The 23865-nt window shown below is 40.1% G+C and overlaps 2 pseudogenes; one reads left to right on the top strand and one right to left on the bottom strand.

Annotated features, from left to right (window-relative positions):
* Nucleotides 10058-14419, top strand: DEFB108F (defensin beta 108F (pseudogene); annotated as a pseudogene).
* RNA5SP153 (RNA, 5S ribosomal pseudogene 153) lies at nt 22032-22107 on the bottom strand (annotated as a pseudogene).

Below are 23865 nucleotides of genomic sequence, written 5' to 3' on the forward strand. Positions count from 1 at the left end.
ACACCACCTACACCACAGCCTAATCAACAGACACAGACACACAGAGGCCTCTCCTCTTTTCCTGTGGTCAAAATTAGGAAGCCTATGACTATGGTTGCTAACCAAGAAGGAACACAGATATTTTGTGAATGAGAACATCAAAAGCACGGAATTTTGTATGTTAATTGGCACAAGTCCAGATATTCAATTCCCTCGCTGATTTTAAAACACAGGGATCCCTGACTCCATCTACATGTGGAATATGATTTCCACCTATAGATAAACACTGGGGTTTCTCAGATTTTATTATCCTAGCTTTATGCCCTAGCAATGTTTCTCCAACACCCACCACAGCCTCCTGAAGCCTTACTCCACTTTTACTTTCACTCAACTCCGACTTTTGTATTTCCCTTTGGAACTTGGAAATAATCAAGTAAGAATCTGTTTTAGGGTCAAGTGCGGTGGCTCACACCTGTAATCCCAGAACTTTGGGAGGCCAAGGCAGGTGGATCACCTGAGGTCAAGGGTTCGAGACTAGCCTGGCCAACATGGTGAAACCCCATCTCTACTAAAAATACAAAAATTAGCTAGCTGTGGTGGTGCTTGCCTGTAATCCCAGCTACTCAGGAGGCTGAAGCAGGAGAATCTCTTGAACCCAGGAGGCAGAGATTACAGTGAGCCGAGATCCCACGACTGCACTCCAGCGAGGGCGACAGAGCGAGACTCTGTCTCAAAAAAAAAAATCTGTTTTAGGATAGGGATAATCAATTCAGGGATTTATTTCCCTTAGAGGGTCAACACTCCCATCCTGCTACCCTTAGAGGGTCAACACTCCCATCCTGCTAATCTAGCCCTTAAAATCTCCTGCATCAGAAATTAGCAGGAGTACCCTGAGTCATGGTGTTTCTTTCCTGTGTATACAGTCACAATCCTCTAGGATGCTCAGAAAATACAAAATGACTTAGGGGTGGGAGAAATTTAGCAGCTCAATCTGATATTTTACTAATGTGGTATCTAAAATTCTTGCAATCATGGTTTATATTAGTCTTTGTTAGTTGCAATATCTCTGATTATCATGATACATATTTGCTGAGAAATACTGATGTCCATGTATATATTCATACATAGATATGTAGGTATATAGGTGCATATGTTTATATGAATGTATGTGTTTGAGACAGGGGGAAACATGCATGTATTATTTCCCTGCTAAAAATATAAGAATAATTAAATATATTTTATGTACAAATGATAGTTATGTGTCATAAACAAAAAATTTACTGACACATTTGTACATGAAGTCCAGGAAAAATAAAAAGGGTAACTTTGTATTAATTGTGACATTGTGCTTACAGATGTACATATATTTCCTTATTTAACCCTCATAATACCCCTGCTGATTACAGTTTATTTACCAATTTAATAAAGGATCAACAGTTTGAAAAATATGACAAAATTACAAAATTAGAAAATGACCCAGCAATACTTTTAATTATATTCTGCCTGTCGATGCCTTTTCTTGCTTTTTGACAAAATTACTCCCCTAACCAAGGTTCTCTATGATTCTGGGGACTCCAGTATTTAGACCCCAGTTCCCAAACATCATTTTGTCTATTTTTACTGCCACATTTAATGCACATTTACAGACTTCAACAAGCACTTTTCATTATGAAATTTTTTCTTATTCCTTGGACTATTTTCTACATCTGTTCATCAAGATTCCAGTAACATATGACTCCATCTGCCTGTCCCTTCCATGAATGTACCTGACAGTACATGTATTATGTAGTCTATAATTCAAGCAGAACAGATATTCCCTCAAAAAAATAAGATATTAGAGAAGGCCTACAAATCTTCAGTGAAACCAGCTGTAACCCTTAATATTATTACCATGTAAACTCTTCCTCGAATATCAAAATAAGATTTGGGCTTTAGAGAATATTTGTGTGTAATTATAACCCAAACATGAATGAAAAGTCATTTAACTGATCATATACAGACTGTGCCAGGGAAGAAAAAGGACAAATATTATAAGAAAGTTAAAGCATACTTATTTCATAAAGGACTCTTGTGTGGAATCTATAAAAACTATTTCAAGATGTACAGATTCAATATATTTTAAAACACATACATACACAAGCAATCTTTAGGAGAAACTTTTAAAAACTTATGTTATGGGTCTAAAATTTTCATTAATTCATGGAAAAAAAATGTATTAACAAACTTTTCACCAGAGCAGGAATAACAACTTATGTATTTGGTGACTTCAAGATGAGAGCCTGTACAGCTTAGTATCTCCCTCCAGATGTCTCTCTCTTTTTTTTTTTTTTTTTTTTTGGCGGAGTTTCACTCTTGTTGCCCAGGCTGGAGTGCAGTGGCGTGATCCCGGCTCACCGCAACCTCCACCTCCCGGGTTCAAGCAATTCTCCAGCCTCAGCCTCCTGAGTAGCTGGGATGACAGGCATGCGCCATCGTGCTTGGCTAATTTTGTATTTTTAGTCGAGACGGGGTTTCTCCATTTTGGTCAAGCTGGTCTAAAACTCCTGACCTCAGGTAATCCTCCAGCCTCCGCCTCTCAGAGTGTTGGGATTACAGGCGTGAGCCACCGTGCCCGGCCCAGATCTCTTAAAAAGTCATGAGGAAGGAGCCATTCTGCATCCTCAATATTACCTTAATATTTTAAGGGCATCCGTAAAAATTAAGAGGCCGACTTGTGACTTCCTAGCCCTTTCACGGCTATTTAGACACACCTTAGTGAAGTATTAGGAATGCATTATTAGGTCTCAAGTTCCTGGACAACAAAACCATGTTCTCCAACAGATCTTCAGTAAAAATAGCTGATGTCTATATTCTTTTGCCTGTCCTTTCCCTTCCTTTAATTCAGAACTGCAGTCTCGAAAAGTGTTATTATTTAGTAGATTCTCTCAATTCTCAACACCAGTGCTATACAATGTTGAATGACATCTCAGGTGCTTGTTAGGGAAACAGCAGCTGACATTCTAGCAATGAACAAATAGAAATGCAAAGATCACCACAGAGTAAAAGAGAATAGATTTTTTTAAAGTATGAAACCAAAACGAATATATATCAGATTACACCATAAATGGAAAATCCTATTATCTTGACAGGATTCCAAGCCTCTCATGGCTTCCAACATCCAATATATTCAAAGCAGTTCAGGAATGGTGAAAATGGAATGGAATTTAAAATTATTCTAAGGTCTTATGTGTGAAATCACCATGCCCTGAAACAAAATATTTATTTTTAAAGTGCATAATGAACACTGCATACAAAGTTTGTGTAACAGGAGAGAGGAAAAATCTCGCATTTTAAAAAAAGGAATATACAACATATTTACATACAATAAAATAAAATTAAATTAAAAAACAGCAATAGAAGACAGAATCTAACATCTGAAAATCAAGGGAGAAATCTATTTTAAATAAACTTGGCACAATTTTTAAAGTAAGTTATGAAAAATAATAATACCTGAATATAGTACATAAAAGTACCAATAAAATAAACCTAAAATAATATCCATGGAAAAATTATTTGCTGTACATTATTTTTAAAAAATTAAGTACTTACCTTAATAAGGTAAATGAATGAAATTTAAAAATTGCTTGAGAAAATCTGTGAAAGGAAATGAATATAGAGAAGCAGAATATAATTTAACTATAAACCACACAAATAGAATTTAAAAATAAGTGGTAGCCAACATGCCCAACACGATTTTCTGTGATGAAAGAACTTCTCTATATCTGCATTGTCCAATGCAGTAACTACCACAAATATGTAGTTACAGAATTTCTAGTTTGGCCACGACTTTGGCTATTACTACTAAGGATATGCCATTTAGTTATTTAATTATAATTAATTTACAATTTATAGTCACATGTGACTAGTAGTTACTATATTGGCCAATGCAGATCTAGAATCTTGGAGGAGGCAGTTAAAATAATGAGATATGGTCAAAACAGAAATGGAAAAGGCACACAAATAGTGAACACAGAATATGAGAATGTGAAGTAACAATTCACACAATAAAATGTAATAATGAGATGCTGCCTTGATGGGACAAATATCTAATGATATACAAGGCTTGTCTTGTTACAGGTAGAAGAGTATGAGCAGGGCAGGAGGAGGGCTCTTACCCTACCCACTAGAAATGTCAGGTTATGGCCTGTCAGTTATCACATTGCCTCTCTAAAAATGATAATTAGGCAGCACCAGAGAGAGGCCATTTCCTGATGGTCTACATCTGTTAACATCAAAAATGTGAATTAAATGCAGAACCCAGGAAGAAGCAACTTCTTGGGCATGCATGTTAAGAGACAAAAATGGCAAAGCATAATCTTCCGGGGCCACACTCTACCGGAAAAGGAAAGAAAGCTTCAGATGGACATGCAAATAACTCCCTAAACACACCGTGCATGCTCAATTTCAAAGGGTAAGGAAAGTACTGCCCATGGCGGAAACTCTCCCTAAAGGAAGAATCATGGGAAAGAGGCAAAACCATCGCAGGATCAAGGTTAAAGCCTCTTCTCTTTTCTTTCTTGGATCTTCAGGCATCTGCTCGGGTCTCTTCCAAGAGAATTTTACTCTCTTTCCTGTTCTAAAGCCTTTTTAAATAAACTTCCACTCCTGTTCTGAAACTTACCGCTCAGTCTGTTTTTCCACTGTATGCCCTTCAGTCAAATTCTTTCTTCTGAGGAGGCAAGGACTGAAGTTGCTTATGGACCTATGCAGATATGCTGCCAGTAACTGGAATCTCTTCTACTTGTAACAGTATCATTGTAAGGGAATGAGGCCAGTTCACATCTCAGTGCTTGGAGAACTCACCAGAAATAAAAAGTTGGAGGATGCAGTGAACTTAACTACCCTCCAAGGCAAGTCCCACAAGCAAGCAGCAAGACTCTCTTTCCCCAAGAGAGTCTTCAGATGCTCCTTCTCTGGGAAAATGCATCCTCTGATTGGCTTCCCCTTATATATGAAAAAAAAAAATAATAAACGTAATCACCACTACATTCCAAGAGACATGCCCTGATTGCACAGACACTGAATCGAATCAAAAACTTCATTCTGGAGACACTCCCTGTTCAATTTGATTGGATTTTTGAGACTACTACTAAAAACCCTCACATAAAGTTGGAAACCAGAGTTAAGGCTATTTTGAAGGAAAAATATGAACATTAATTCCTTTTTTTATTCATAAGTACTTTTGAGTGTATTATATGTACTAGAAAGCATTTACAGTCAAGGGATACAGCAAGAAACCAGACAAACTAGAGTCTTATGGAGACTCTATATTCTAAAATTCTTTGGAGGTAAACTGGACTTGAAAACAAATGGAAGGTGAATAGATATAAAAAGTTTCAATGTTCATGATGATGTAAAAAAATAAAATATATTGCATAAATGAAGTCAGGAAGTGTTATAGGGGTCATGTAGTACTTGTAAGACCACTGGTATTGTCTGAAATTCAAGCAGGCTGCAGAAATTTGGGTAACTAAAAGGAAAGCAGATGCTAATAGAAGACAATGAAGACAGGGCCTCAAAGACATTTCAGAGACCTTGGCGGGTGGAAGCCCCTCCCCTCAAAGGCCTGGAGGCCTAGGAGGGAAGAATGGTTTTGTGGGCTGGGCCCAGTGCAAGCGCAGGACAGTGCTCACAGCATTCTAGGTCTCAGCCACTCCAGCTCCAGCCATGGCTAAAAGGGCCCCAGACATAGTTTGGGCCACTGCTTTAGAGGGTGCAAGCCATAAGCCTTGGCAATTTCCATGGTGTATTAAACCTGCAAGTGCACAAAGTACAGGAGTACACTGCTGATAAAGATATACCTGAGACTGGGCAATTTACAAAAGAAAGAGGTTTAATTGGACTTACAGTTCCACATGGCTGGGGGGAGGCAGAAGGGAAAAGGCATGTCTTACATCACAGCAGGCAAGTGAGAGAATGACAGCCAAGCAAAACTGGTTTCCCCTTATCAAACCATCAGAACTCGTGAGACTTACTCACTACCACGAGAACAGCATGGGAGAAACTGCCCCCATGATTCAGTTATCGCCACTGGGTCCCCCCACAACATGTGGGAATTATGGGAGTACAATTTGAGGTGAGATTTGGGTGGGGACACAGAGACAAACCATATCAGAAGCCTTCGCCTGGATTTCTAAAGATGTATGGAAAAGCCTGTATGTCCAGTAGAAGTCTGCTGGGTGGAGACTTCATGGCGAATGTCTACTACAGCAGTGCAGATGCAAAATGTGGGGTTGGAGCCCCCACAGAGTCCACACTGGGGCACTGTCTAGTGGAGCTCTGAGAAGACAGCCACCATCCTCCAGACCCTAGAATGGTAGATCCACTGACAGCTTGCACCCTGAGCCTGGAAAAGCTGCAGGCACTCAACACTGGCCCTTGACAGCAGCCATGGGGACTGACCCTTATATCCAAAAGAAAACAAATTGTTCTACCATAAAGACGTGTGCACTCATATATTTATTATAGCATTATTTGCAATAGCAAAGCCATGGAATCAACCTAGATGTCCATCAATGTTAGAGTGGATAGACAAAATACAGTATATGTACACCATGGAATACTATGCAACCATAAAAAAATTACGTCCTTCGCACCAACATGGATGCAGCTGGAGGCCATTATTCTAAAATAATGCAGGAAGAGAAAACCAAATACCGTATGTTCTTAGTTATAAGTGAGAAAAAAGCATTGGTTGCACATGGATGTAAAGATTGGAACAACAGACACTGGGGACTACTAGACGGGGAAGGGAAGGTGGGGACAAAGGCCTGAAAAACTATCTATTGGGTATTATGTTTTCTATCTGTGTTACAAGATCATTCATACTCCAAGCCTCAGCATCACACAATGTGCCAATATAAAAACCTGCACATGCATACCCTGAATCTAAAATAAAAGTTGATTTTTTTTTTAAATGGACAAAGATCTGGCTAACATGGTGAAACCCTGTCTCCACTAAAAAAAAAAAAAAAAAAAAAAAAAAAAAAAAAAAAAAAAAAAAAAAAAATTACAAAAAATTAGCTGAGCATGGTGGCGGGTGCCTGTAGTCCCAGCTACTTGGGAGGCTGAGGCAGGAGAATGGCGTGAACCTGGGAGGTGGAGCTTGTAGTGAGCCGAGATCATGCCACTGCACTCCAGCCTGGGTGACAGAGCGAGACTCCATCTCAAAAAAAAAAAAAAAATGGGCAAAGATCTGAATAGACATTTCCCAGAAGAACAGATACAAATGGCCAACAAATATATGAAAAAATTCTTACCATCTCTAATCATCAGGGGAATGCAAATAAAAACCACCGTGAAATATCAACTGATACCTCTTAGAATAGTTATTATCAAAAAGATGTATAACAAGTATTAGTGAGGATGCGGAGAAAAGATAACCCTTGTATACTTGTGGTGGAAATACAAATTACTATGTCCATTTCAGATAATAGTATGAAGGTTTCTCAAAAATTTTTAAAATAAAACTACCTGCTGATGAGGCTGTTGAGATATAAGAACACTTTTACACTGTTGGTGGGAATGTAAATTAGTTCAACTATTGTCAAAGACAGTACGGTGATTCCTCAAAGACCTACAACCAGAAATACCACTTGACCCAGCCATCCCATTACTGGGTATATACCCAAGGGAATATAAATCATTCTATTATAATATGTTCATTGCAGCACTATTCACAATAGCAAAGACATGGAATCAACCCAAATGTCCATCAGTGACAGACTGGATAAAGAAAATATGGTACATACACACCATGGAATACTATGCAGCCACAAAAAAGAATAAGATCATGTTCTTTGCAGGAAAATGAATGGAGCTGGAAGCCATTATCCTCAGCAAACTAACCCAGGAACAGAAAACCAAACACTGCACATTCTCACTTACAAGTGGGAGCAGAATGGTGAGAACACATGGATATTAGGAGGGGAACAACACACACTGGGGCCTGTTGGGAGGCAGGTGGAGGGAGAGTATCAGGATAAATGGCTAATACATATAAGCAATAGAATATTATTCAGTGTTACATAATAATGAAACCCTGTCATTTGTGACAACATGGATGGACTTGGAGGGCATTACGTTATATGAAATAGACCAACCACAGAATGACAATTACTATATGATTTCACTTGTATTTGAAATCTAAAATAGACAAACTCACAAAAGCAGAGAGTAGAATGGTAGTTGCCAGGGGCCGTGGTGCTGGGGAAATGGGTAGATGTGGTTAGAGCACAAAGTTTCAGATATACCACATAAGTAAGTTCTGGAGGTCTCATTTACAGCATAGTGCTTACAGTTAAGAATACTGTATTGCATACTTAAAATTTGCTAAAAGGGTAGATTTTGTATTCTTATCAAAATTTCTTACCAAAAAAAATAATAATAATAAAGGGGGGGGACTTAGGGAGGGGAAGGATGTGTTTATAATCTTGATGGTAGTGATGTGTTCATGGTGTATCCTTATCCCCAAGCTCACTGAGATGTACACCTTAAATATGTACAGCTTTTTAAATGTAATCATAGCTCAACAAAGTCCGTTAAAAAAAAAAAACAAGAGGTGGTTGGTTAAAATACTTAAAAGGAAGGGTAGATGTTCCCTTGTTTTTCTCTCTTGGCTATTTTCCTTCCTGCTGCCTGGAATTCAAAAATGATAGGTGGGGATTTAGCAGCCAAACTAGAGCCTCTTCTAAAGTATAGCAGAACAGAGAGCTGGAAGGTTCCTGCGTCCCTAATGAATTTGGCAAGTATCTGTACTAGCCATGGTAGGTAGAACTATAGATTTAAGTGAGGGAGAAACAAACTTCTGCCTTCTTTAAGCCACTTTGTTCAGACTTAATTTTATATATAGAGAGAGAACACATGCTCCTTTATGAGTAGGAAAAATGTTTATGTCATATGGTCCATGATGGGTGTTCAGCAATGTAGGATGAGACTGATTATGATGACAATGGTGACAAATAGCATGAAATAATAAGCAAGTAAAAAAAGGTGGCCTAATAGTTGTGTATGGTTACTTTATTTAAAGATTCTGCTGCTAATATCATTCAATGTATTTGTATGCTGGTGGGAGTTTTATTCGATGTAGACTAAGAAAGTTTATATTATTTAATGAAAAATACTTGACCAATTTTTTTAAAAAAATAAAAATATCATGAGATGGAACTAAGCATCTGTATTGCAAAGTAACTCTCCCAGTTGATTTTCTGCATAGTAATGATTGAGAATCCCCTGATCTAGATCCAATAGATCTCGAACCTTATAGGTGCTATCAAGGAAGCACCTAAGGAAGACAATTTTCCTGACTATATCCATACCTCCAGTTAGTAATAGATCTAGAGATCTAGAACCCAAATCCAGACCTCTTGCCTCCATGTGCGGTGGTCTTTCGCTGTTGTTTTGTTCCACTTGGTGAAGAGGATTTGAGAATAAATAGCCACATGATTCAACTCCCTCCTCAGTTCTGAGTAATATAGCCTTGTCCTAGCAAGAAAGAAGTTCATATTGTCGTGGATGAGGCAAATATACATTCACTAATCTAACATACAAGGCAGTAAGTACTGTAACATAAACAAAGCACTTTGGACTTTCAGACCAGGAGCAAGTGGGGTGATTAATTCTTAGCAGGGCTAGTAAAGTCTGGGAAGTGTTCACTAACACAATGTCTGGTCATTAATGAAACCAACTGGTTTCTCAAAACAGTCTAATTTATTGTAACAATATAAATGGTTGTTTGTTCATAAACTTTCATCTTTTGCCAAAATGTTTGTAGCTTATGTCCCCATTTAACAAGGTTTTCTGGCCAAAACTGCACCCACATCATTCTAATGACCTGGCTGTCCAATAAAAAAAGGACTCTCAGTCTTCCCATAAAAGCAATTTTGCATGCATAGAACACCTCTATCTATGAATATCCCTAATGAGGTACAGAAAGACTCTTGTTATCCAAACAGAGACATTCCACTGGTGCTAGACAGCCACAGATGGAAGTTTTCTCTGCCTCCTGGAAATGAAGACAAACTTTTTTCTTTCTTCAGCCATGAGGATTGCTGTCCTCCTCTTCGCCATTTTCTTCTTTATGAGCCAAGTTCTACCAGGTAACAAAATAAACTTGGTAAGAGTAGAGTGCCTAACACCTTACAGGGATTCAATACTCAAAGAGAAATCACCATCAACTATGACCAGAAAAGAGGGTCTCATAGGAAATCTGGAAGACTCATTGGCTGAGAGGCCTGCGGCCATCTAATTCGTTAATTCTCCATAGCAACTCAGTTAAATGAAGTCAATGGTGTTTCAAGTCTTTGAAACCCTCTTATTCCATCTCCAAATTAGGCAAGTTTACTAGCAGTTACTAGACATCAAAAATTAAAAATCAGGCATTATTCTACTAAATATTGGTCTCCAAAGCTCCTCTAGTTTCTTTCAGCAACAGTTAGTTATCCTAAGAACTGGCATAAGAGCTATGCCAAAGCTGTGGTAGGCTCAGACAGAAGGGATTGGTGGAAGAAGTCTTTTTGAAAATATTATTATAATCTAAGAAATCTTTAACCTATTGCTCCCCAATACTGTTGGTCCCTGGGGCTTGACTTTTCCCCTTAAGGCTCCATCTCCATCCCTGGCTTTCCCTCTTCCTTCTCAGCATCTAGTCTTGTAATGTAGAATTTAAACACAGGAAGCAGGGATGACCCCACACCAGAGCATAGCCTACTGCATTCAGCATGCGAACATTAATCACAGGTATAAGGCCCCTTGCACAGACATGCTTTGGAGAAGTGTGTAAAGGACTTCTTGGATTTGCCCAAGGTGGTTACCAGACACCCAAAGTAGATTCGAAAATTTTCTGGAACTCCTGAACATGTGTATTCAAGGATGAATAAGCAACTTATTGCCTCTATTTTTGCTGTTTTATAGAGAAAAAAATTAAGGCCCTGGAAACTGAAGTGCTTTTCCCAACAGTGGGGTAAATGTCAGAGTCAATGCTTTGTTTTAATATCCTGGCTTTCCCTATACATCCCACCCTAGAGTTCTGTTGTGCTGTTCCTTTGTATGACTTTCTAAAGCCTGAAAAAAGGTGATACCATATCCAATTATATTAACTCGGTAGCACACAACATCGGGGACTGACATAAGATTATTATCCTTGTGGTATTACTGAAGTCCTGTCTCACTAGTACTTGTTAAATAGTCACCCTGGCTAAATACATGGCTTTGATTTTTTTTAATCAGTTAAAAATATTTTAAAATATGTGTCCTACATATATAACCCCAGAAAATCAATGCTTTTAATCAAGGTTTAAAAATTCCAAATTTGGATAAAAAAATTTGTTTTGTTTTGTTTTCACTGTCACTCAATCAAAATAGAAGCAACTAATTGGATAGAACAGCACAGGCAGAAGCATTACTCACAGTCAAAAATGGGATGCAACAAGACTGGAGAAGAAAACACAGGGTGGTGCTAAAGAATGCAGCCTTATGAAAGGTGGCATCTCCTCTGGATGTCCTTAGGTAGACATTGAAGAAGAACTACCAACTTTTTGTAGAAGGCTAGAGAAGAGAGGAGGACACAGAGAGAGGGCAAGAGTGGAAAATAGAATGAGGCTCAGAATACCAAACCTTAGTGCTGTCCCTATCATCTGCCTCACTCGATCACTGGGTAATCTTGGGCAAGTTTCTTCCTTTCCATCAGCTTATTCCCTCATCTTTAAGGTAAGTGACAAGACGAGACAGCCTATGTTCATTGTAACTCTAGCTTTTGTTCCTAAAGCAAATGGCTGGAAAAGACATAGTGTCCACAATATGCAATACACAAGGTTTACAAGCAAAGAACAAATGAAAACGAAAGATTTTTAAAATCCCTAATGTTACTTGAATTCTTACAAATGAACAATGGTACATCATAATTTTAAAAAGTCTTTTGTAATTTCAATTTTTAAAAATAATTTCAACCTTTATTTTAGATTCAGGGAGCGCATGTGCAGATTTGTTACATGGGTATATTGTGTGATATTGAGGTTTGGGGTATGAATAACTCTGTCACGTAAGTAGGGTGTACCCAAAGGGTAGCTTTTCAGACTTTACTCCCTCTTCCTCCCCTCCTGGTAAGACCCAATCTCTCTTGTTCCCATTTTTATGTCCATGTGCACTCATTGCTCGGCCCCCCCTTACAACTGAGAATATGTGGTATTTGGCTTCCTGTTCCTGAGCTAATTTGCTTAGAATAAAGTCCTCCAGCTGCATCCATGTTGCTGAAAAGGACACAATTTTGTTCTTTTTATGGCCACATAGTATTCCGTGACATATATGTACTACATTTTCTTTATTCAATCCACTGTTGATGAACACCTAGTTTGATTCCATACCTTTGCTACTGTGAATACCACTGTGATGAACATACAGATTTAGGTCTTTTTACAAGACTGATTTATTTTCCTTTGGATATACACCCAGTAGTGTGATTACTGGGTCAAATGGTTGTTCTGTATTAAGTTTCTTGAAAAGTGGTTTGAAAATATAATGCTCAATAGAATCAGGTATAGTAAAATAGTACACATGATTCAAAGACTGTGAACTGAGAGTAACAACAAATTTCCACACAAACATATTGCAAGTTAGAAAATAGCTGTATTTTAATCAATTATTCCACAATCATTTACTGAATAGCTATTATAAGCTAAGACTTTAATCAGATTCTGGAATATACATACAGAGGAGAATAAGGTATGATTCCTGTCCTCAAGAAATTCATTATCAAGAATTGAGGTCAGATGGGAAAACACCACCCGTGGTAGAATGCAAGAAGTACTACCACAGAGGGATGTTCAAGAGTGATTTATCACATATCACAAGACAGGTCAGTGGTTCTTCCTCTACACTATACTAATCTCTTATGACTCTTCCAGCTGCAAAGGGCCAATTTTAGCACAAGGCCAGTGGGCTTGGGTACTACTATACGTAGTAGCTGACTACTTACAGATAAAAGGAAGAGATGGAAAGCTCAGAGATCAAAAAACTCAGATTTCTGCCTGTTTCTACCAAGTGGTCAACCTTGACAATTACCACTGTCTTCAGAAAAGCATGACCTTTATTTCCCAATTTGCATTATAGATATAAATATGATGTTGCATATATTTGGTCTTCACATCAATCCACTAACCGCTTTGTGATCATTGAAAAGTTAAATGGAATCTAATACATTTGGATTTCAGTTCAATTAAAGAGGCATTTATTGAATGTTTATTAAAATTGCTGTACTGATTGAAATCTATTCTAGAATTGGCTTTTGTGTTCCAGAATAGAAAAAAAAAAAAGTGCTGGTTTTTATACCTCTCTTATTGCCAAGAAGTTATCATGGAAAAGGTGCTCTGTGTTACATACAAAGACTGCTCAGCATTAAAACACTTTTCAAACTAAATACCTCAGTGTGTGTGGCCTATCCCCAGAGCAGTGATATCTTAGGACATAAATGAAATACTATTCAATGTTTTCAACAAGTATAGTTTTTGAGCCTTTAAGAAGACCTTGAATGTTTCACTCTTAATATATGCAATGGTTTCTAGAGAAAAATTGCAACCTCAAAGACCAGTGCCAGAGATATAAGTAATGAGTGAAGTCTCAGTGTATAAAAAGTACTGGCACAGATATATTTGTGTATTAAACACATAGGAATATTGTTCCCTTCCACAGGAAAAATATCCTCTCTAACAATTAAAGTATATTATCTTTTAGGTCTATATTTCAGTTCTACTTTTGAAAGATAACATCTATTATAATCTATCATATAGAGTGTGTGTGTGTGTGTGTGTGTAGGAATAAAAACAGATGAGCCAAAAGAGATTTTCTTCTCTTTCACTCCAGGAAAATCCATAGTACAAGACATATTTTTTTAAAAGGCTGAAATCTCCCATCAGTGTTAGAAGATAATAAGGTGAAATAAACTGAAACTTGCATGCTCTAGAACTTGTAAAGGGGAGCGGGCTACTCACCTCCAGCCTTTTGTCATGTAGGTGCACCCAATAGTCTCAGATTTTTCAAGAACACCAAAAAATTCAAATTTTTGTGTGGCAGCAGATTTTTAAGTGTTTAAGAAATCAAATCACACACACACACACACACACACACACACACACACACAAATCAACACAAGGTTATTTTCAGGCACTGCCCCCTACGTCCATGTAATTCAATACAAAGTAAAGAAAGACCAATGAATGGTTACAATAACCCTCTTCTGCATGTGGCCAGGGGCAAATTCAAGGAGATCTGTGAACGTCCAAATGGCTCCTGTCGAGACTTTTGCCTCGAAACAGAAATCCATGTTGGGAGATGTTTAAATAGCCGACCCTGCTGCCTGCCTCTGGGGCATCAACCAAGAATTGAGAGCACTACACCCAAAAAGGACTGAAGCCTCTTGTTTTCTGGAGGTTTTATGTTTTCTTTTTTCTCTCTCCCTCTCCCTGTCTCCCTGTCTCCCTTTCCCTCTCTCCATTTTTCTCACAGGGATTTTTATTGAATCCTTAAAAAAGAATAAACCAAAACCAACCAGCACAAAACCTCTTTTAAAAGTTTATATTACTGGCTGGGTGCGGTGACTCATGCCTGTAATCCTAGCACTTTTGGGGGCCAAGGTGGGTGGGTCATGAGGTCAGGATATCAAGACCATTCTGGCCAACATGGTGAAACCCTGTCTCTTTTAAAAATACAAAAATTTAGCCAGGCATGGTGGTGGTCACCTGTAATCCCAGTTACTCAGGAGGCTGAAGCAGGAGAATCGCTTGAACCCATGAGGTGGAGGCTGCAGTGAGCCGAGATCCCGACACTGCACTCCAGCCTGGGTGAGAGAGCAAGACACTGTCTCAAAAAAAAAAAAAAGAAAGAAGTTTATATTACATGTTATGACTTGAATACTGTTTGGTTTCCAGTATCCTTCTATCCCATCTAGATGAGCTCTTAGTTGAAAATGACCTACAGGAGGGTGGGGGAACTTTCAACCATACCTATTGATTTGTCTAGCACTGTAACCCTTCACCCTGCATGTGGGAAGACAACTCCGCTTTTTTACTGGGAAAATGCGCCATCCTATTCCATGCAGCCTTGCAGGGGTCTGTCTCTCCCTGATAAAGGTGCAGCACATGGGAAAATTGCACAATCACATCAAACAGACTTCACCAGAAATCTAAATTATAAAAAGAGTTGCACTCATATTAAAGGCAATTTCTTCACCACCCTTTTCAGAGGCAATTCCCTGGGTCTGTACATGTATGCCTGGCCAAGATTCAGGGAATTCCTTTAGTTCCCAGCTTTCACTGGGCATAATCATTCAGCATTTTCTTCCATCTTTTAAAACACTGCATTGGCTTCCTACGGCTGCTATCACAAATTACAACAAACTTAGTGGCTTAAAGCAACACAAATGCATTATCTGACAGTTCTATAGGCTGCAGGTTTCAGATGGATTTCAGTGGGCCAACATCAAGGTGTCAGCAGGGCTGAGCTTTCTTCTGGAAGCTCTGCAGTTTTCTTCCTGCACCTTTATCCCAGCAATGGCAGGTTACTCCTGGGCACCATAGCTTCCTTCATCCATTTTCAAAGCCAGCAACGGAGCGTTGAGTCCTCACATTCCATCATTCTGAATTCATCTTCTCCCAACTCTTCCATTTTTTAGGACTCATGATTAGGTTGGGCCCCCCTGGATAATCTAAGATAATCTCCCTATTTTAAGGTCAGCTGATTAACAGCCTTAATTTCACATGAAACCTCAATTCCCCTTTGCCTTACAAGGTGGCACATCCACAGGACCCAGGAGTTAGAAAGTGGATAGCTTTGGCGGGAGACAGAGGGGACATTATTCTCCCTACAACAGCCACTGAGTGCTTTTACCACCTGTCACAATTTTGCTCCATTTAGACACATCTTTGGTGGCTTTGTGTGAGGAGAATCTCATTCATAGAGTTTTCTTTTTTGTGTAAAGTAGTGGGGGGCCTCCCCTTGGTCATTGAAAGAGTATAGAATCAAGATATTTAAAAGTATATTAGCTGGATTTTATTTTTCACTATGCCTGATTTGACCAAGAAACAATGTTAAGTTATGTCACATGGGCTACTTGAAATCTCAAAAAGTTCAAAACATTGGGTTCAAAATCTCAGAGATTGAGATATATTCCAACCAACTCAACCCTGTGGAAGTGCCAAGGTTTCCTCAGTGCCACTCTTGAAACTACATCACCAACTGACCCTTTAATGTATTTTTGCACTATATAACATTTATTTCTTAGAGTAAGTCCTTCCCTAGAAAAGAAGCAGTTTGGACACATATATTATTAAAGCCGTCACATAGAATATTATCCTCTCATTGCTAGAAGGTGGCCTTCAAGATGGCTGACTAGAGGTTCCAGGCACTGTGTCCTCCAAAAGAAAGACCAAAACAGCAAGTAGATAATCATACCTTGAAGAGGGCATGAAAGAGGGCACTAGAATTCAGCAGCAAAGTGACGAGGAATCTCTGAGGTATGGAAGGAAAGGAAAATGAAGCAGCAGCCCAGCCAGAATCAGCTTAAAGCCAGGACAGGCTCTCCAGTGTGGTGAAAAGGTAAAAAAGAGAGCCCCAGTGGTCCATATTCCCACTGTGGACACTGAAATCCTAGCCAAGGGACAGTCTCTCAGCCCTCGCAGGCCCTGAGACTACTATAGGGAGCTGCCTGGAATCTATGTGATGGTCATTGTCCCAGAGAAGGAGTTGGCACTGGATCGTCTGCACCCACCCCCAGACACAGACAGCTGTGGCACAGTGCCAATTTGAGAGCCCAGCCCCCAACAGACTACATCCTGCCCTGGGGCCCAACAGCCCCTGCATCTCCACATATCTGGACCCCCAGTGACATTCCCTCATGTCCACCCAGAGGCCTGCAGAGTCACAATACCAGCTGAACTCACCAGTGTATCTTGGTCCCCATCACTCTAGCCTACACAGTGTCCTACACTCCAGGGAACTGGCAGTGCCATTCACTAGGGAGGCTGCCCCCAGAACAAAGGGAGCTGAAGCAGGCACTCTTCACAAGTGGAGAGTCACCTTCCCAGGGCCACTGACACTGACAGCAATCCTGACCCCCAGGAGCAGGGCCACTGCACACCTGCAGGCATCCTCAGGGGACCTGGGGACTCACCTGCCTGGGCACTATTCCAGGGCCAGAGCACAGGCCCATCCCACCCATTGCTGTCACTACCACTACCCAAGCTCGTTGTCCAGGAGGCTGGGGATCAACCCACTCTGCTCTCTGTCATTGGCACCTGTGCATGCCTTCTTGTGACCTGAGAATGAGCCCACCCAGCCTGGTGGTGCCTGTGCACATTGTCTGGGAGCCTGGGGATTAATCCACCATGCCTATCACCATCAAGTACCTGTGTGTCTCCTGAGAGCCTAAGGATAGGACTTCCCAGCCTGCCATCACCACTGCCACCAGTGCCCACATATTTGCACCAAGTGAAAGCCTGAGGACTACTCTGTCCGTCATGTTGCCACGACTGCTGGTGTCTGCACATGCCATCTGGGGTCACAAGAGTTCACCTGCTATGAATACTGCAATTGCTGATGCTACACATGCCTCTCAGCGTCTTGAGGGCATGCCTATCTACCTAGCTCACCACTGTCACTGCTGGCACTTGAGAAAGCCACCTGACTCACACCTGTAATCCCAGCACTTTGGAAGGCTGAGGGGGGCAGATCACCTGAGGTCGGGAGTTCAAGACCAGCCTGACCAACATGGAGAAACTCCATCTCTACTAAAAAAAAAAAAAAATACAAAATTAGCCGGGCATGGAGGCGCATGCTTGTAATCCCAGCTACTCGGGAGGCTGAGGCAGTAGAATTGCTTGAATCTGGGAGGCGGAGGTTGCAGTGAGCTGAGATCATGCCATTGCACTCCAGCCTGGGCAACAAGAGCAGAACTCCATCTCAAAAAAAAAAAAAAAAAAAAAAAAAAAAGCCACCTGAAGGCCCAAGGATGGCCTGCCTGAAACTTCAACCACTAGTGCCCACGTTCATCACCCACAAGTTCAAAGACCAATGCAACTGGTGCCCAAGGACCAAACTGCCTGGCCTGTCTTTCCCCAGCAAAATCTCACCACAGCCTCCATTAACAACGAAGGCTAAGACACTGAGGAGCTCACAGACATCAGTGATGCTGATTATAGCTGAAGATATCATAGAAGTCTAAACTACTGAACCAACCCAGAACTAAAGGCAAAGTGTCTTACTGATTCAACAGTATAGATACAGCTACAGAAGTCAGTCTTTTACTACCAAAGCCAATCTATAAAATTAGAAGAAGCAACTGTTTTACCAGATATTCAAATATCAATGTAAGGACATAAGAAACATTGAAGAGCAAGGAAACATAGCATCTCTGAAGGAAAACCAATAATTCTTCAGCAACAGATTTCAATCAAACAAATCCATAAAATGAGTGAAAAGGAATTTAACAGCTGAAATTGAATAATTCAATAAATAAAATAAATAATACAATTTGAGAACCTCAACAATAGACTAGATTAAGAAGATGAAAGAATTTCTAAACATAAAGATCGGTCTTCATATGCAGGATTAAAGATTAAAGACTGAAGTGTGAAACACAAAACTATAAAAATCCTGGAAGACAACCTAGGCAATACCATTCAGGACATAGGCACGGGCAAAGATTTTATAACAATGACACCAAAAGCAATTGTGACAAAAGCAAAAATTGACGAATGGGATGTAATTAAAGTAAAGAGCTTCTGGACAGCAAAAGAAACTATTAACAGAGCAAAAAGACAACCTGCAGAATGGGAGAACATTTTTGCAAGCTATGCATTCGACAAAGATCCAATATACAGCATCTACAAGGAACTTAAACAAATTTACAAAAAAAAAAAACTTTAAAAAGTAGGCAAAGACATGAACAGACACTTCTCAAAAGAAGACACACATGCTGCCAATAATCTTATGAAAAAAAAAGCTCAAGCGTCATGAGGGATTATGACAGACAGGAGGCAGAACTAGATGGCAGCTCTGGACAGAGCAGCATGCGGAGGCTTGCATTGTGAATTTTAGCTCCAGATGGACTGCAAGAGCAGACCAGCAATCCTGACAGGACCCACAGACCCTCCGAAGGAAGCAGACTGCTCTTGCAGGACCTGGGAGACACCCCAAATACTTTAAGTCCCCTAACCACGGAAATGGGAAAGGGAGACCCTCGTCTCATGAACACACACCCGCACTGGAGAAGCTGAAAGTCTGTTTGTGGGAGAAGTTCCTCACTTCACCTGGAGCTGAGTCAAGTTAGAGAGCCGAGCTGAGCAACATACAGGAGTAGAGGAAGTAGCACAAAGGCACTGGAAGGCCGCTGGATCCCCAAGTAGCCCATTCCTGCCTGGCACCACAGGCATCCATCAGGAGGGTGGCCAGAGGAGCAGGGGGTAAAACTTCACAGGGAGAAGGACTTCTCTAGCTGAACTTTGTAAAAAATTGAATGCGGCAAGAAGCCTCCTGGCCAGAACTCGGGGGAGGGCGTGAATCCGGCTTGCAGACTTCACAGGCGGGGTAAGAACTGAGGCCCATTTCTTTGTCAGTCGGGAGGTAGAAAGCCTCAGATAAGTTTTCAAGCCAAATTCGCCTTTGGCCTGGAAACAGACTCCGGGCTATCGCAAGGGGCATTGTGGGAGTGAGACCCGCCTTTCAGCGTGCCTGGAAGCTAGCTTTCCCCCACTTCCCTGACAACCTGCATGACTCAGCAGAGGCAGCCATAATCCTTCTAGGTACACAACTCCAGTGACCTGGGAATCTCACCTCCATCCCCCACAGCAGCCAAAATAAGACCCCCCCAAGGAGAGTCTGAGCTCAGGCACGCCTAGCCCTGCCCCCACCTGATGGTCCTTCCATATCCACCCTGGTAGCAGAAGACAAAGAACATATGATCTTTGGAGTTCTGGAGCCCTGCCCACCACTGGTCCCTCTCCACAGTGTCCGGAATTGGTGGGTTCTTGGTCTCGCTGAGTTTAAGAATGAAGCCGCAGACCCTCCTGGTGAGTGTTAACAGTTCTTAAAGATGGTGTGTCCAGAGTTGCTCATTCCTCCCAGTGGGTTCATGGTCTGGCTGGCCTCAGAAGTGAAGTTGCAGACCTTTGCAGTGAGTGTTACAGCTCTTAAAAGTGGCGTGGACCAAAAGGTGAGCAGCAGCAAGCTATACTGCAAAAAGCGAAAGAACAAAGTTCCCACATCATGGAAGGGGACCCAACCCTGTTGAGCTGTGGGCTCTGGTGGCCTGCTTTTATTCCCTTGTCTGGCCCCACCCACATCCTGCTGATTGGTCCATTTTACAGAGAGCTGATTGGTCCGTTTTGACAGAGTGCTGACTGGTGCATTTACAAACCTTTAGCTAGACACAGAGTGCTGATTGGTGCATTTACAATCCTTTAGCTGGACACAAAAGTTCTTCAAGTCCCCCACCAGATTAGCTAGACCCAGAGAGCTGATTGGTGCGTTTACAAAGTTTTAGTTAGACACAGAGTGCTGATTGGTGCATTTACAATCCTTTAGCTAGACACAAAAGATCTCCAAGTCCCCAGCCGGCCCAGAAGCCCAGCCGGCTTCACCTCTTGATGGCACTCGCCAGACAGGACTTTGCAGCACCCAGCCCTGGCACTCCAGCAGCCTAGAGAGAGCTCATCCCCTGGTCAAGCCCAGCAGGCACTGGCCAGCCGCCCCAAGTGTGGGGCCCGCTGAGCCCGCGCCCACCCTGAACCTGCACCAGCCCACAAGGGCCACACACAGCCCCGGCTCCCACCAGGGCCTCTCCCTCCACAACCTGCGAGCAGAGGGAGCCAGCTCCGGCCTTGAACAGCCCCAGAGAGGGGCCCCCACAGTGCAGCGGCGGGCTGAATGGCTCCTTGAGTGCAACCAGAGTGGACATCGAGGCCAAGGAAGTGCTGAGAGCCAGCGAGGGCTGCTAGCATGTTGTCATCTCTCAACACTACTACAGCGCATGCTTCCTGGAAAGCGCCACCTCCCAGCAGGAGGCCCATCAGCACAAAAAATAGAGCCTTAAACCACCAAAATGGTGGAGGCAGTTTGAAAAACAGGTGGGCAGTTCTTAAAGAATGAAAAATAGAGTTACCGTATAACCCAGCAATTCCACTCTTAGGTATATACTTAAGAAAATAGTTTGTACCTAAGAGTTGAAAAATTCTCAGTGAATTCTCATAGCAGCATTATTCATAATAGCAAAAAAGCTGAAATAACCCAAATGCCCATCAGCTGATAAATATATAAACACAATGTGGTATATTTATATAATACAGTAATATTTATTGATAGAAGGAATGAAATAGCTATATATCCTACAACTTGGATGACCTTGAAAAATTATGCTAAGTTATGGAAGGCAGACACAAATGGGTATATATTTTATAATTCTAGTTATGTAATGTCCAGAATAGTCAAATCTATAGGGATAGAAAACAAATTAGTAGTTTCTGGGGATTAGAGAAGGAGTTTCTTTTTGGGGTGATGGAAAGGTTTTGGAATTAAATAGTGGTGATGGCTGCACAACATTGTAAATATACTAACATCTATTAAATTAAACAAATCAAAATGGTTAAAATAGTGAATATTTTGTTATGTGAACATTATCTTAATAAAAATTGTTTTGATAAATGTGATGTTTTGGAGTGTCCCTTTTTATTTGTTTTGTTAGAAGAGGTTGGATATAATTACAATTTTTTAAATTTCTGAAATGTTGTTGAAAATATAAGTTAAGTGCCCTCTTTTTTGGGAGGTTATTGATTACAGAATTAGTTGTTTTATTGATTACAGAATTATTTGCTTTATTAATTCAGGAAAACATTCTTATTTTCTGTTTCATCTTGAGTTAATTTTGTCAAGTTTCTTTAATGGTTTTGCATATTTAAAGGTGCTTCCTTTTTTCCTGTTATTTTTATTTGTGCATTTTATTTTCTTTGTAATTCATACTGCAAAGACTGAGATGTTTCGGTTTTCTATTATTATTTTCTTCTGAGATCAGATGAGATCAGGAGTGTTCATGATGGTATTGCCAAAGACTCACCATTATTATTTTCTAATATCAGCATTTATGACTCTGAATTTCCTCTTGAATATTGTACCAATGGAATCCAAAAAGTTTTAATAAGTAATATTTTAATTTCAATATATTTTATTCACTAAGATTTTTTTCTTCAATCAACTGGGTTTTAGAACCGTTTCTTATAATTTCATATCAGTGTGATAAATGAACACTTTCTGTAGAGTGTCAGTTATTTGACTTTGTTAAGATTTGGCATGTAGAACAAATCGTTATATGGTCAATATTTGTGCATATTCAATATGTCCTATTAAAATTGTATTCTGTAGTTGTTGAAGTTCTTTGTAATTATTCACTTCATAAAAATAGTAAATTTTTATTAACATCCAATGTATTGTTAATGTTTAAAGTCTTCTTTCTTTGAATGACTAAGAAAAATAAGTTATAATCTCCCGCTATAGTTCGGAATTTTTTCATTTTTCCTTGTAGGTTGCTTAATTTTTGTTTTATAAATTTGATGCTATGTTATTTAAGTGCACATGTTTTGATGTATATATTTTCCTGGTACCACACTGTTTTGGTGACTATGATCTTATAGTACAGTGTGAAATCAGATAGTATGATGCCTCCAGATTTGTTCTTTTTGCTTAGTCTTGCTTTGGATATGTGGGCTCTTTTTTGGTTCCATATGAATTTTAGGATTGTTTTTTCTAACTCTGAAGAATGATGGTGGTGTTTTGATGACCACCATCCAGTAGTACAAGTAATTTCTTGTACTACTTTTTTTTTATTTTTTCATTTTGCTTTAAGTTCTGGGATACAAGTGCAAAACGTGTAGGTTTGTTTCAAGGTTTACCTGTGCCCTGGTGGTTTGCTGCTCCTACCAAACCCTCATTTAGGTTTTAAGCTCCACATGCATGAGCTATTTATCCTAATGCTCTCCCTCCCCTCCTCCCCATCCCCTGACTGGCCCTGGTGTGTGTTATTCCCCTTCCTGTGTCCGTGTGTTCTCATTGTTCAACTCCCACTTATGAGTGAGAACATGTGGTGTTAGTTTTTCTGTTCCTGTGTTAGTTTGCTGAGGATGATGACTTCCAGCTTCATCCATGTCCCTGCAAAGGACATGATCTCATTCCTTTTTATGGCTGCATAGTATTCCATGGTGTATATTTACCACATTTTCTTTACCAGTCTATCACTGATAGGCATTTGTGTTGGTTACATGTCTTTGCTATTGTAAATAGTGCTGTAATAAATATACATGTGTTTCTGTCTTTACAGTAGAATGACTTATGATTCCTTTGGGTATATGCCCAGTAATGGGATTGCTGGGATAAATGGTATTTCTGGTTCTAGATCTTTGAAGAATCGCCACACTGTCTTCTACAATGGTTGATCTGATTTACATTCCCACCAACAGTGTAAAAGCATTCCCATTTCTCCAGAGCATCACCAGCATCTATTGCTTCTTGACTTTTTAATAATCACCATTCTGACTGGCATGAGATAGTATCTCATTGTGGTTTTGATTTGCATTTCTTTAATAATCAGTGATGTTGAGCTTTTTTTTATATGTTTGTTGGCCTCATAAATGTCTTCTTTTGAGAAGTGTCTGTTCATATTCTTTGCCCACTTTTTAATGGGGTTGCTTTTTCTTGTAAATTTGTTTAAGCTCCTTGTAGATTCTGGATATTAGACCTTTGTCAGATGGGTGGATTGCAAAAATTTTCTCCCATTCTGTAGGTTTCCTGTTCACTCTGATGATAGTTTCTTTTGCT

Source organism: Homo sapiens, chromosome 4, assembly GCF_000001405.40.
Source record: "Homo sapiens chromosome 4, GRCh38.p14 Primary Assembly".
In the NCBI taxonomy this organism is placed as follows: domain Eukaryota; kingdom Metazoa; phylum Chordata; class Mammalia; order Primates; family Hominidae; genus Homo; species Homo sapiens.